The following is a 16276-nucleotide window of genomic DNA, read 5'->3' as shown; positions in this document are numbered from 1 at the left end:
TTGACAACTTAAACATATGGCTTCTGAGAACTTTGACAGCTTTTAAGAGGAAACTAATAATAACCCAACCCTTACAGGCTTTTTTTTTTTTTCAAAGTTGAAAATGCTCTCATTTTTAAGAAAGTTTTGGAAAATACTATGTCAGAATTTCCCTATCAGTTCCTACACTGTTACCAATCTCTTCCCAGGAGCTATCTTCAAAGTATAATATAACAGACTATCAGAATAGGAAGTCTGTGTGAAATAGTAATTCTCATTTCTAAATTTATAAGAAAGAAAAAAATTAAATGCTGTAACTTACAGTAAAAGAATTAAAGATAAATATGGCTAATGATGTATAAAATCCTATTTGACTCTTATAACGTGTAAAGACTATTGCTCTTTAAACTATCTAATTTATCCAGTTTAAATCTTCAGATGACAAACCTTGATTGTCTTTATCACTTATTCTAGGATTCATAAGAGAATAAAGAAAGATTAAATGGAAAACTGTTGGGAAACAAGTAGCAATTTTTTAAGTGAGCTTTCCATTATTTTTCTGCATTTATCTTAGAAATGAATTTGTGTTCATAGCTTTATCTTTACAATTACTTAAAAATGAGAAAGTGTTTATGGATCAAAAATGTTATGTATTTTAATGTTTTTCTGTGTGTGCACAAGAACATGAGAACAGATTGAGTTCTCATGAACTCAACAATTTGAGTTCTTACAACAGAAGTAATTATAACTTGACCTAATAAAGAGTGAAAACAAATTATAATCACAGGACATTCTATTTGCTGTAACATAATAGAAATCGGAGACTTACAACTGACACCTAGAGAAAAAGACAAACTGAAAACAAAAGCAAACAACAAATAATAATGAAAATCTTCATGCAATTTGGCTGCATTGCATGTGACTTGGGGTTTTACTGGTAAAGTGGTAAGAACATGTTACATTGATTAGTGCTGGTGGCTAAAAGGGAAAGACATTGCTCTTGTAAGAAGGGGGAAAATAATCAGAGCCTGATTTTGCTCCATAACAGTAAATTTTATAGCTATATGCTTGTGGTTTAAAAAACTTTATTATTAAAATTTTGCATGAAAAAAAGTTTTATTGTGAATCTGAGCTTCTAACCCCTTTGTACTTTATTGAAACAATGAGCTTTTTCTAATTAAAGCATCACATTTATTACGTCAAATATTGAGTTAGAATACAACAAACTGTTTTCAAAACTACTCAAAAATTTTAAATCAAGCGTTTATTGCCAGTATTATGATTACTTTCAATGATTTACAATTTGCGAGATGAGAAAAGTCATCTAATAACTGTTGAAACTCTAAAATGCCTCTTCTTAATCCAAAAGAATTAGTCAGAAAGTTGCCTTGACACATTTGAAGAAAATTAAGAGTAACTACTCCTGAGTTGGTTAAGTTCTTCCAACAAGTCCAAGGGGAACAATATCCTATCAACATCAACAGTACATGAGTGAAGAAATAAAACAACTATTAAGAACTGTGTGGACTGATGAAGGGACATGCGGTGGCCTGGCTCCCACCTGGCCACCAGCCAGCAGAGAACAAATCCCAGCCCTGCTCATGACCACGGCATGACCCATGGTGAGTGTCTTCCATTCCTGAGCCCCCCTCAGCTTCCTCATCTGTTTTTAAAGATAGGATTGCCATGAAAATGAATGTAAAGGTTTCCATAGTGGGGATCTGTGAAATTCTTTTGGTTGAGCCCCCGACATTGAAACTATTTTCATAGTAGTCCAAGAAGTAACTTGCTTTGTTCACTCTCATTCTCTCCTGAGAATGCAATGGAGTTTTTCAGAGGCTACATCACGTAAGATATCACAACAGGCTGAATGCAGAACAGACATGAGAATCCAGCTGTCTCCTATTAAGCCAGACATTACAGTGATTTGCAAACATGTGAAAGAGTGCCTCTCCTCTCACTACCTCATTTTGTTTTTGAAAACACAGCTATTGTTCATAAAACTACGCAATTGGTGTTAACATGGAGTTTTAAATGAACTAATAGAAAATAGATTTGAAAGTCTTTTTTTCTAATATGGTAAATACAGCTATGTAATACATAGCCACAGATATACACACATACACAGAAGCTCTTTAGATACTAATAATATTTTAGAATGTAATGGATCCTGAGACTAAAAAACTGAGACTTATTGATTTAAATCAATTGCCTGACAAAAACTTTTTTTCCACATGAATTAATTCACAAGGCAGAAAGGAATCCTCTGATAAGCTATGTAGCCCAAATTTGCTTTTAAAACATGTAACAACTATCTATACTATTTCTCTACTTTTTAATAAATTGTTGACAGCAATGAGTTCTCAACTCTAGCTGCATGTTAGACTTATCTGTGCAGTCTCTATAACATACTATTGTCTTTGGTCTCACATTCCGTAATTGATATTTTATAAAAGCTCTCTGTCTCTGTGCAGATTAATTTCATCATGAAAATAATAGGTTTAATGATTACCATGTCTAAGTAGGTATCTCATTGCTGAAACCAAAATGCACCAACTCCACCTTGTATCATTACTCTTTCTGTGCATGCTTAACTTCCCCAGCAGACCCTCAGCAATCCAGGGCAGCACGGATGTGAGAAGCATTTTATTCTTCCGGCCTACTTAGAATGCCACAGAGTATGTAAGTGTTCAACTAATGTTAACTGGACAAATGACTGAATGAGAGAATATGTAACCGAGTACTCCCTCTACTTACTTTGCAGTGCAAATGGGATGCCCCAAATGGCCCCCAGAGTGCAGAGCTTGACACTCCTCATCCCAGTGATAGCAGCAACGTCCACAGCTCATTCTAACATCTTACATGTTTCCCTCTTTATCTTCCTAGGGACCTTATGAATAGTGTGTGAATGTTTAGAGGGGAAGACCTCCAGCTTCCATCCTAGTTCCCAGAGCCACTGACTGCCCGGCAGAAATCGACTTTCATGAAACCATGTCAGATAATGGAATGGGGGCCAGATAAAGGCTATGGTGTTGGGGAAACCTCATCCTTGTTGCAAGCTTTCTTCAAGAACAGGAGACTCAGTGCCACTGAACTTAGGATTTGGGGATACAGTCGTGTGTCTCTGAGGTACACAAAACTGCTCAGGAATGCAGTGACAGAGATGCCTCTGTGGCAGAGGACATAACACAGCGTGTGCCATTAAAGCTGGCCTCAGAAGCTACTGACCCATGGATCATAGTTGTGTCTTCTGTGGAGCCAGAACTGGGCCTCTCTTAGCAGATGTCCCCATGTGTCATTCTCAGTTAAGGGAGTTGCACTCTCTGATGAACTTGAGCCTTAAGGGTTACTGCTCTCAAAGTTCCTTGAATTCACAGTTGTTGCCACTTCATGAGATGCAAACAGACCTCAGGAGGCTAATCCTGAGGCCTCACCTCATGAGGCCCCCAAATACCAACACTTTCTTCCTCTGCAACCAACTGATTATTGAGGGGCTGAAGATTTTTTTAAATGATGACTTTATTGAGACATAATTTAAACACCTTGTTATTTACCCATTTAAATTTTACAATTCAATGGCTTTTAGTATATTCACAGTTATACAACCATAATCACCATAATCAATTTTAGAACATCTTTGTAACCCCCAAAAAACCACCTGTCTACATTGGCAGTCACTCATTATTGTGACCCAACCCCCAAAGTTCACAAACCTCCAGTCCTAAGGGACGGGGTTCAGGACAGGCTATGACAAAATATGGATCTTGGCATCTTAAATATTTTAGGCTTAAGGTATTTAAGGAATGGCAAGTGGAGGAAGGACTCTCTGACTATCCCCTGAAGCAGATCACAGGATCCTCAGGGGACAGGTGCCCTTTCTATACCCAATGTACTTCTCCTTAGGGTCCTTATCTCCAAAGAGGGAGGGACACCAAGAAGAAACGAACAAACAGGCCTCACTAAGTTTCCTGTTTATTACCCCTTAGCCCTTTGTCCATCACATTTTTCCATGACTTTCCACTCATTACCAAACCTAATATAAAAACACTCAGGTTTACCTGTTTCTTTAGGTTTTCATTTCCTTGTGATGACTCCTGTGTCATGTAAAACTCATATTAGGTAGATTTGCACTTTTTTCTCTTGTTAATCTGTCTTTTGTGCAGGGCCTAGTCAGTAAACCCAAAATGGGTAAAAAAAAAAAAAAAAAAAAAAAAAAAAAAAAAATTCCTTTTTCTCAGAATTATATTTTTTCTAATCTTTGCAAAATTTCTCTAATTGGTAAATTCTAAAAAGCAGTACATGTATTATTTAGGCATATAGGGGTAACCATTCAAAGAACTTAAAACTAATACTAAAAATTAAGTGGTTATTTTAGGGGAAGTGAGACTTGTGAAAGGGTGGGGGAAGTTAGGGAAAGCGTGAGCCTAATTTTTAGGGTAACTATAGGCATCCACTAATCTACTTTCTGTCTCTGTGGATTTGTCTATTCTGGATATTATTATATGGTCAGCTGTGACTGGCTTCTTTCATTTACACTGTTTTGCAGAATCATTCATTGCAACATATATCAGTATTTCATTTCTTTTTAATTGCCTAATAACATCACATTTTATATACAGAGAAATGACATTTAATTTATTCATTCATGTTGATGGACATTTAGATTGTTCCACTTTCAGATATTATGAATAATGTGAAGATGTATTTTTAGGCCACTAAAAACACAAAAAAATGTCCTTCTCTCAGACCTACATGTGTATAATCAAGGGATTCTTCATGGGGCAGAGGAGAATGTTAGATCTTAAAGTTAAATTTTTACCTCTGCTTAAAACTTGAAATTGGTTGACAATGTCTCTCATTAAACAGAGAAAAAAATGCAAATAATACACAGGAAACAAAATGAACTTACTGAATTCAATCATAAAGTCACAAAAGGTTAAAGAAAAGAACCTTAGAAGAGAGTTAATTTTACAAGTAAAGAAAACTTGAGTTCCAGAGAGATTAAATGACTTGCTCAAGATAACATGCTGTCTTGACTCTTGATGCTGATGGGTTAAAATGTTATGCTCCCAAGTTAAAAAAAAAAAGAATAAAGTTCAAAAGCCTCTCAAAGCAAAAGAAGTAAAAACAAATGTATTTACTGGAAATCTTAAAATGAAACACTTGAAAGCTATTTATTGCCTTCCTTTCCAGCTTCAGGAGCCACACCCTTGTGGTGATAAAAGAGCCATAGGTTACATAATTTTGTTCCTGATGAAAGAGTTTGCACTTTCCCCTCCAGGCTGCAGACACCCTACCATGGGTAATAGAAGAGAGAAGTGTTCCCTGGTAATAGGCTAGTAGGCCAGTGCCAAGCTCTGGGGTCCCAACTGCACAAGCAGAAGACAGCCCGCTCCACTCCCAAGACACATCACTCAATCAAGGAAGGGATGACTTCACTTGCACCACCCATCCCAGCCAGGGGCTTGGACCAGTATTGGACCAGAAGGCCCTCCACTGTGAATGGTGAAAGAAAACATTAGTGTTCTGAAAGTCCAGGCCTTTTGTTATTTTCAGAAAACAACAACAACAGATTTTATGCTTTTGCTTTCTCTGGTTAATCTCTATAAACTCTCAATATCTTTGGTATTTCTCTCTTGGAAAATGCAGTTTGAAAGAGAAGTAGATTTTTCTCATAAAAAGGAAAGCTCCTATATGTCTAACCATTTATGCCACCTACCTCTCCTATCTCCTCCTCCCCTCTTCACAACATTGTTGCAGAATTAATGGATAGTGGGATGTGTTAGGCTACCTGGAAACTTCTTTTTTGTGTGTGTCACCCTTGGGGCATGTGAATTTTCCAACACCTTCACCCCTTAGTCTTTTTTTTTTTTTAATTTTTAGAGACAGGGGGGTTTCACTCTGTCACCCAGGATTGAGTGCAGTGGTGCAGTCATAGCTCACGGCAGCCTCCAATTCCTGAGCTCAAGTGATCCTCCCACCTCAGTCTCCCAAATAGCTAGGACTATAGGCACACACCACCACACCTGGCTAATTTTTTAATTTTTTGCAGAAAAGGGCGTCTTGCTATGTTGCCAAGCTAGTATCAAACTCCTGGGCTCAAGCAATCCTCTTGCCTCAGCCTCCAAACATGCTGGGATAACAGGCATGAGCCACCATGCCCAGCCTTACCCCCTCACTCTTAATCCATCCCTACATTTACCTGCCCAGGCCTGGTTTTCCTAATGAAAGCATGCTCTCCAAATCTTCTCTTCACAAATTTTAGGGTGTGTTTTGATCAGATTTTTATCTGTTCAAAACACAATGGCATCTTTTTGTTTGTTTTAGGGGACTTCAAGATGAAGTCATATCTGCTTTGATTGGGTGATGGGTCTTGGGGGTGCTGGTGGATGCCTTCTACCCCTCCAGTTTGAACCCCAGAACTTGGCATTAACTCACTAGCCTATCACCAGATTTAGCATTTCTTACACACTGCAGGAATGACATAAATTTCTTCTAGAATTTTCAAGATATTTTTCCCATTATTAATTCTCCCCCTTAATTTCTTTTTTCATTAACTTCTTGCCTTTTAAATGCTATACCTGCATTCATTTAATTTTCTATGAATTGGATTGATTCAATAAATATTTATTTATTTCTTAATAAATGCTCACATGTGTTTCAATTCTTTAACCTTAAAACATTTATTTATTTTTGGGAAAATTATGGGCAGGATTTTTTTTGGAAAGTATAGACAAAATACATTCTAAGATAGTTTAAGGCAGTAAAAACTGAACTTGACTTTATCTCTGTAAACAGTGAACAACTATTACCAAGTGTTTATTTGGATGATATTTGCATTCTGTTATCAATTAAAACCTCAGTACTCTTCTTCTTCAGATGAAGACATTGGTCAAAGTTTGGTCAGTGCTTGAATTCCACAAGCAGTGCATTTTGTCTTTATGAACAAGAGTTACAGAAGAGAATGACTTGATATTTCTTAACTCTAGCTTTCTAGACAATCCCACCAATAGGACCCAAAATATATGATTAATTTCATAGTCTTGATATTATTATTAGACATAAAATAATATTTCCTTTCACTCATTTATCCACTCAACAAATGCCTATATAGTTATATCTTTTGCAATTCAGGATCTCAGGGATAAAAACTTGTGATAAAACAAGCAATAGTCATAGAATTAAACTTTTGGGAGGATATTTTAATTCCAAAATTATTTTCTTCTCATTCTCTTTTCACACAGAAGCAGTTGACTTGTAATTTTCTTTTGAATTAAAACATCTTGCTTTCCAAATAATATATGTACCTGATAACAAAATTTCCATGTATAGGGAAAGATTTCTTGTGAATACTTTCCCTAATTTCCCACACCTTTCCACAAGTCTCACTTCCTCTAAAATAACCACTTTTAATGTTTAATATTTGTTTTAAGTTCTTTGAAGGGTTACCCCTATATACCTAAATAATACAGATACCACTTTTTAAAATTTACCAACTAGAGAGATTTTCAATTGATTTCCTAGTATGGTAGATGGTAATTTAGCTCTCTTAAACCAATTCTCACTTTCTGTCCTCCCAGCCTTCAGTGAACATCTGTTTTGTTTTGTTTTGTTTTGTTTTGCTTTGTTTTGTTTTGTTTCTTTTTTGTCCACCCAGCATTTGAACCCTTTGCTATTTTGGGAAATTTTCCCATCTTATAAGGTGAGAGGTAGAGGTAGCTTCTGGCTAGAGAAACTGAAAACACCAGATACTCACTTTCTCAAGCTTCCTTGCACCTGGGTTCATGCATGTGAGCTAGGCTCTACAAATCAGACATACCACCTCAGACTTGGAATCAACAGATATTAACACATTTGTGGTAAGATTGAGTTTCTGGGTAGCAGCAGCAGCAGTGCTAATTGAAGCACCCAGTCTTCATGCCACTTGTGTTTATAATACAATCTCTCCTGCCTTGCACCCCGCGACGAGAGGAATTCCGTTATTAGACCAATTTTGCTGGGTGATTATTCAAATTGCTCCTGGGCTGCAAAGTCCAAGATTCTGCAGTCCTCTAAGTTCTTCACTTTTTCTTCTTAAGTGAGCCAGAGTTGGTCTCTGTTGCTTACAATTAAGAATTCTGACTGACGTACTACTTAATCCTAGTTTAGTAACACTACTGCCCTCAGATACTCCACTAGTCACTTTGCAACTTAAAGCAACATACTAGAGCGCTCCTATCAAACACAAAGAGTACCTCAACTTCCCATTTTGCAAAATGAAGACACTAGTACTCCAATACTTGCGTCTACGTTTCCTCCCTTCTTCTAAGATGAAAACACTAATATTCCATTCTAGAATTATAATCATTTTCTGTGCTTGGTTTATAATTTGATTCTAGAAGTTAAAAACCAATTAGCGATCTTTACTATGTGCCCACATACAAATTATTAAACTCTGAGAGCAGTGTGTGTTATATTTACATTTCTTTGTTACATGTCCTATATACATCATAATCCAATATCATAATTCCTACGCCACTCAAAGAAAAAATGATCCTACAGTTAAGTTGAAAGCCATCTGTTTTTATCGTAGGTCTTTTTCCTCTAACAGAACCTCAAAATTTTCCAAGGCTTATCTAGAGGGCTCCATCTATTCCAATGTCAATTTTCTAGGGTTTCTTCAAATCAATGCATTTGGGACAAAGATGCCACTGTTTTCCTGCTTTTAATCCAGTAGTTCCTGAAAACCGTGTCCTGCTTTTCTTGACTTCGTTCCTTGTTTTATTGGAAAACATGTCTTAGTAACTTTCTAAGAAAAGGTCTATGGAGGACAAACCTTTGGAGTCTTTGCCTTGCCTTTGTGAAGAAGATTGTCATTATGGCCTTCCATTTGACGGCTAGTTTGGCTAAACATAAAATTGTGAGTTGAAAATAAGTTTCATATAGAAGTCTGAAGGTTTTTCTCCATTGTCACTGTTGAGACATATAGCACTGAATGAAATTCTGTTTATTTATCTTTGGTCACTGTTCCTGAAGGAATCTATGATAGAGTTTGGTGAAGAAGGTGAGAAGAGAGTAGATAATAAGAAAGATCCAGAGCAGGAGGTATCATCTGGAAAATCTGATTGGAGATATTGTCCTGGCACAGGCATTAGCAGATTATCTTTGGCAGCTAGGGTAGGAGGGGGAGAAGTTCCTAAAAAGAAAAAAGATTGAGGAGGAGGTGCAAATAAACTCACCGACTTGGCAATTTTGCTTAGTCATTCTGGACTTTCCCACTACAATAAAGATGACTGTTCATCTAGAAATTATTCTCTTAGAGAAATGGCTTATTTTTTTTAAGTCAACACAGCAAATAGCCTTTTTATTCTCCAAGGCACACATACATATGACATATGATAGTGCTGAGATTTTTGCCTCTTCTGCAGAATGGAGGTAGCATATCAGAATATAGTATGAATTTTTTGCAACTTTAATAGCACAGTGAAGAGAAAATTGAATGATCAATGCAGTATATTGCAACTGGAATATTTTCTTATCATGAAAATATAGATTTACATACTAATTATAACTCATACTATTGAGTATTCAAATTTTATTTTGCTTTGTGAACCATGTGGAATGAAAAGCAATCATGCTGTAATGTGGTACCCTGTGACATAATAATGCCTACTACCATTATGATTTCAACAAACTTGGACTGGGATTCAAATGAGTAGTGTGACCCTGAGGGAAATGCTTTAATAATGGCATCCAGTGTTCTCAATTAACACAGGAAAGATTTATGACTTTTCCCCCCCTTTGGTGGTCTCTGTTGAGAAGGAAAAAACATGAACTGCCATTTGATTTTCCACTCAATTGCATCTACCAACTGGCAGACAGACCAACTGAGAGAGTCCGTCCGTTCAGTAGCTGGATTCGCCATGGGTGTGCCCCAGGAGTGTTAGCAAGGCTATTTCTCCGGATCAGAATAGTCCACAGACAGCAACTCTCTGAGGGAAGGCTCCACAACTGAACTAGTAAGACGTGCCTCTGCTTAAAATAATCATAAGGAATTTCTCCCTTCTCTTCTATGGGTCTTAACCTTCTAATTAGCCACCTCTTTATCCTCTGAGAATATCTCAAGTCCATGTCTGATAAGCCACTTCTCAGCAGGGAGAGAACTGCATCTTAAAATGGATTTGATACTTCTTAGTAAACTGACAAATCAGCCGAGGGGTGAGTCAAATGAAAATTTTAGGACTATCGCCCTGCAAAAAAGGTGATGATTGCTATAGGTTGGGAGAGTTATAATCTGTCAGAATCTTCTGTTGCAAGGAACAGCTTAGCCACACAGCAGTGCTCCATGGCGGCTGCCGTCAAGAATCTAAACACGGCTTGGAATTCTCTGAGGATGTTATTCATAAAGGCACAGTTAATCAAACTCAGACCTCTCTTCAGAATCTCACTGTACAAGCCAAACTTATTGCCAATAGAAGGAAGGTGCCAGACCAGAGAAGGTAAGCTAAAATCTGTGTGCCCTGGCTTCAGAACTATGAGGTCTCAACTTAGCCCATTTTAAAAAGTAAAAAAAAAAAAAAAAAAAAAAAAAAAAAAAAAAAAGATTTTGTGTATGTTGTTGCTTTGTTTGTTTTTACATTTATCAAACAGTTGGCTTTCTATTCATACAATCAGAGCTTTGTAACTATCCAAGGATTTTCAACCTACAGAAATAGATATTTTCACTGATTTTAATTTAATTTACCAAAAAGAAAAAAAAATCTCTCCTTTCCTTCCCTCACCCTTTAGAGGAATTCAGAAAGGACGGGTATGGGCCAAAATCACTCTGGCTAGTGTCCATGGTTACCAAGCTGAAAGAGAAGGCAGTTTTCTGGATAAATGGCCTTGTCTTAAATGCCAGATGCCTGCTAAAAGTATTGCAGGCTCTCAGAATCTTTCTGTGCCTCCTCTGCCATCATAAACAGGAATGGTGGATCTTTCAGCAGAGATACTGGCGTATCCCCATGGATTACACCCTTGGCTTCTGAGAAGAATGGTTTTCTTTATTCTTTGCACAGGGAGATCTCTACATATGAAAGGTGAAGTAACTTGATTTCAGTTGTTTTGGAACTAACTTGGAGTGGTGAGAAACTACAGCATTGTCGTGTTCTCACTATCAGAGGTAAGAATAAACATAAGGCAATCTGGGTGTTCTCAATTTGCACAAATCCTGTGTAGGCTCATGTGCTGACTCTTCAATGAACATTTTTCCCCCGCTCTCAACTCAGGGACAAATTTTTCCAGGGTCCTTGAAGATAAATGTGAAGGAAAAGCATAAATAGGCCTGTTTGGGATTCAGCTTCCATAAGGGAGGAAGAGAAGCAGCATCGGTGATGATCATGAGTTTGGTCTTTAACAATTTCCACCCAGCTTTGCTCAAGTCTCTGGTTCTTCACCTACAGGCGAATTCTATGAAAGTTCCTACCTCATAGAGTTGTTGAACTTTTCTATTTAATAGACTACATTTAGGACAGTTTTAGGTTTACCGAAAAATGGAGCAGAAAGTAGACAGAGTTCCTATGCACTTCCTCAGTTTTCCTTATTATTACTCTCTTGCATTGGTGTTATGGGTGGTTGAATTTTAAATTACATTCCACACAGAATGCATGGTATTTTACATGCCAGAGTATGGTTACAAACTTAAACTATCATGTCTGTAATTCAGGACCCTCTCATTTGTTAACAAAACATGTTTTCATTTATTTGATGACATTTAATGAGTCACCATTAGCAAAAAACTCCCCAAGTCCCTACCAGACAACCACATTATTTGCAAAATACTATCTGTGAAGATTTGTTTCTTTAGGTTTAAGATCTGTCTCTCAGTAATATTTCACTGAAATACAAAATACCCCTAAAAGAGAGAAAAGAATAACTATTGTTATCATCAATGACTTTATTGTTAATTAACAAAAGACACAATCCCCATCCAGGCACTGTAGAATGATACTATCCATCAGTGGTTTTAAGAAGAGTGACAAAGAATGTCCAGAGGTTCTTAAGTAGGACAGTGATCAAGAAGACGAACTGGAGTAGTCTTATATGGTTAGATGATTATAGAAGAGAAAATTATGGCACAGGAAAGAAGAAGAAAGGAAAACCAGTTGTGAAAGAAGGGAGTATTGACTCAGCCTTTCTTCAAGGCAAACAGAGTCAACCTCTGAGCAGGCAGAGGGAGGGGAGATGAAGGGTAGACCCCATAGGAGCCTAGATAGCTGGATGTTGTTCACTTTTCTCTCATTGAATATCAATAGGGCCAGATGGAAGAGGATCAAAATAGCGCCAACAGCATGATTATACAAAAGTGAGAGTTGAGAATAATGAACATATTGGCATTCAAGAGTGACACAAAAGCAAGCACAAAAAAACAGACAAAACTCATTCTGGAGCTGGGTCACTGAGGAATGCATGGGTTTTCTAGCTGGCTGCACTTGGGAGAAAAGTTTAAGTCAAGTATGCATATTGCCTAGACGTCAAAAGTATGTAGGAGGCTTTCAAGGAGTTCTCAGGCAAGGCTGACCATTAAAACCCCTTTGAAAGTTTTATAAATATAACCACTTGGGCCCCAGTCCTAGGAGGTTCTGATGGTGGTGAGGGACAGGCAAGTATACTTGTTTAAGCCACTGCCCTGTACCTTAATTAATCATCCTCACTATCAAAAGTGTTGTTCAGGTACCAGAGCTCATGGGACCAAGATACTCTCAGGCTCTGCTGGCCAGAGCATGAACAAGACCTAGCAATTCCCTTTATAGGAATCTACCACAAGGAAACAATCAGAAATGAAGGCAAATTTTACATTCAAAATTGTTTATTGCAACTTTATGCGTGTTAGCAAAAAAGTAAGATAAACTGAAGTTTAATAATAGGGAAATGGCATATCCATATTATGAAATGTTATATAGAATTCCAAAATTGTTTTCCAATAACTATATGATACAGAAAAAAATGATATAATGTTAAGCAAAAAGGAAAAATCCCAGGAAGACAAATATGTATATGTAATATGAGCTCTGTCTAAATTCCCAACCACCACCATGTATACACACACTAGACATAGTACTCCAAGAAATAGCAAAAAGGTCAACTATGGTGATCTGTATTAGTCAGGGTTCTCCAGAGAAACAGAACCAACCAATGGAGATATATATACATATATATATATATATATATATATATATATATATATATATATATATATATGTAGATTGATAAAGATTGCATATACATATATATACACAAAAAGATTTATTATAAGGAATCAGCTCATGGCAAATGAGACAATATGGAGGCTGGCAGTGCAAAATCTGAAGAGCTGATGTCCTAGTTCAAGTCTGAAGGCTGGAAGCTGTTATAGATAGAACCAATTAAGAGCTCACGTTCCAGTTTGAGTTCAAAGACTGGTAGGCCACCGCAGAACCAAGAAGAGACAATGTCCCAATTCAATTCTGAAGACTGGCAGGTAGGATAATTCTCTTCTACATGTGTGTATGCATGTGTGTGAGTGTGTGTGTGTGTGTGTGTGTGTGTGTGTGTGTGCCTTTTGTTCTATTCAGGCCTGATTGGATGAGACCCATCCATATCATGGTTTACTACCTTACTCAGTCAACTGATTTAAATGTTAATCTCATCCAAAACACCCACACAGAAACACCCAGAATGATATTTGATCAAATATCTGGGTAATCTGTGGCCCAGTCAAGTTGACACATAAAATGAACCACAACATGTGTTATCACTTAGTCTGTAAATTAGTGATAGCAGGGACCATATATTTTAGCATGGATTATACTGTTATTGATTTATGACTTCTTAGCCAAGCAGAATTCACTCTCAGTATTCAAGAAAATGAAATAATATCCTTGTTGATGTATTAACCCAAGAAGTGGCATGCTTCAATTGAAATTTGGTTACTTCTATAAGCCTGTGAGGAGCAGCTTAATTAGTAAAATCTCACTGGCCATTCAGTGTGCCTGCAAACATAAGCAAAAATAATAGGCAAGTGATTTATATACTTTTTGAAATTCCAAAATATCTATATGGAAGAATTCAGTTGTAAAGCTTTTCTTTAATTTCAATGAATACATTATTGCATCTAAAATTATGTGCACACTTCCCCAAAGAATATATACTATCATAACCTGATATTATACTTGTATTTGAATATATTACATATATTTATGTTGAATATAAATTTATATGCATGCCTCACCAAAGAACTATGTGCTATTACAGCCTGATACTATGTACTAGCACTTGCCTCAGCTCAGAGTTACAGAAAAATTTTCATCCCTCTAGAGGTGAAAATATTCTTCCTGAAAATGTTCTCTTTATAGAGGATAAAGGTATGTGTTGGTGGAAATTTAGTGGTTAGGAAAGGCAGAACAACGATGAGGAAGGAGTAGAGAAAGAGAAAGGAGACAAACATTAACCTTCTCAAGTAGCTTTTATCCAAAGAACAATTTTTAAATATAAAAATAATTTCTCTTTTTAAAAAAGCTAAGCAAAATACAGTGAAAAAGAATACTAAAGTAAAAAGAATAACAAAAAAGCAGCAATTGGCATTTCTAGACAAATTTCCTTCCCAGTGGTATTCACCCCATAGTCAATGTTGGGAACCTGAGACAGTGCCCTTACTGGAGGTGACTAGCCCCAAGTTCAGGGAGTACGCACTCCAGACTTTCTCATGTTAATCCTCAGCTCAGACCATTCAGCCAGGATACTACCCACAGCAGGACAAGATCTGTTCCTTGGGACATCTGCCTCAAGCATCCTTTAACAGTCCCAACCATAATCTATTCCTGTGTAATTATGTAATTATGCAATTAAATATAATAAAAGGCTGGGTGGGGAGGGGGAAACTTTCTCATTAGAGCAGGAGTTGAGCAGTTTCCAAACAGGAGCTATGAAATTTAGAGAAGAGGAAACCGACTCTCTAATACTTAAGAATAAATTCCTGGTCCAGTCCTAATCCTGTGAAGGAGTTGGAGATGCGCTTGCATTTTAAGACCCCAGTTCCATCTTAGTTCAGTGACTCTGAACTAAGAACCTACTCTAAACTCAGGCTTTAGAAGGCTCATCCCAAGCCAGACCTGACTCCTGAGCTGGCCAGGTAGTGCTAGGATACCCACCCATCCCAGCTAGAGTTCCTCAGACCGGGTTCTACCATAATATGTTGTCTTGAAATGGTTTTGTTTACTTCCACCAAGCACAAGCCAGGAGCTAGAAAATAGAAGGGAGGTCCTACCTGTGTAGCCACTCCAGAACACAAGACAAGGAACCCTCAAGCAGGTTTGTGGGTGAAAATCTTCTGATCTAGGCTTAGATAATCCAGATACTTAGTTAGGAAAGTAACTAAGCCTTGATTGTAACTCACTTTCAGACTCACAGGTCATCTCATTAATCCAATACAGTTGAGTGTCCCTTATCCAAAATTCTTGGGACCAGAATTGTTTTGGATTTCAGGTTTGTTTTTCAAATGGTGGAGTATTTACACTATACTTCCCATTTGATCATTACTAATCTGAAACTCCAAAACCTGAAATGCTCCAATGAGCATTTCTTTTCAGCTTCATCTCAGCACTCAAAAAGTTTCTAATTCTGGAGCATTTCAGATTTCAGAGTTTTGGATTAGGAATGTTCAATCCGTACTTGTATTATGTGTGTTTCTGGCTTTGAAATTTACAAAAAGCTTTTTCATACATTCATCCTATTGATGCCCTTGGGATGGCTTTGTACAAACAATGTCAGGTCAGAGCTGGAAATGCTGCTTTGTGCTCATATGTCCCAGTTTTTCAGTCTTTTTTTTTTAATGTAAAATTTTTAATTTCTGTGGCCACATAGTAGGAGTATATATTTATGGGGCACGTGAGATGTTTTGATACAGGCATGCAATGTGAAATAAACACATCAGGGTAAATGGAGTATCCATCATCTCAAGCATTTATGCTTTTCTTATGTTACAAACAATCCAATTATGCTCTTTTAGTTATTCCAAAATGTACAATGAATTATTGTTGACTGTAGTCACCCTGTTGTGCTATCAATTATTAGATTTTATCTATTCTAACTATACTTTTGCACCCATTAACCATCCCCATTTCCCACCCAACCACACTACTACTCTTCCCAGCCACTGATAACTACCCTTCTACTCTCTATGTCCATGAATTCAATTGTTTTAATTTTTAGATCCCATAAATAAGTGAGAACAAGTGATGTTTGTCTTTCCATGTGAGGCTTATTTCACTCAATATAATGTCCTTCATTCTTTTTTCTTTTT

The 16276-nt window shown here is 37.0% G+C and overlaps 1 long non-coding RNA gene across 2 annotated transcripts in view, besides 1 other annotated feature; it reads left to right on the top strand.

Moving 5' to 3' along the window:
* Nucleotides 4336–4415: a silencer, noted in NCBI's record as "silent region_4317". NCBI's record gives its function as "represses an Ori minimal core promoter by ATAC-STARR-seq in GM12878 lymphoblastoid cells {active_cell/tissue: GM12878}" and the evidence as "EXISTENCE:reporter gene assay evidence [ECO:0000049][PMID:35858748]".
* LOC105369711 (uncharacterized) overlaps nucleotides 9811–16276 on the top strand; it is an 81818-nt gene continuing 75352 nt past the window's right edge. For both annotated transcript variants that reach the window (XR_931467.3, XR_931466.3), the window contains exons 1-2: nucleotides 9811–10457; nucleotides 11016–11119. This is a non-coding gene — a long non-coding RNA (uncharacterized LOC105369711). The remainder of the gene's footprint in view (nucleotides 10458–11015; nucleotides 11120–16276) is intronic.

Source organism: Homo sapiens, chromosome 12 (assembly GCF_000001405.40).
Source record: "Homo sapiens chromosome 12, GRCh38.p14 Primary Assembly".
NCBI classification, from domain to species: Eukaryota; Metazoa; Chordata; class Mammalia; order Primates; family Hominidae; genus Homo; species Homo sapiens.
This window is presented reverse-complemented; position numbering and strand designations above follow the sequence as displayed.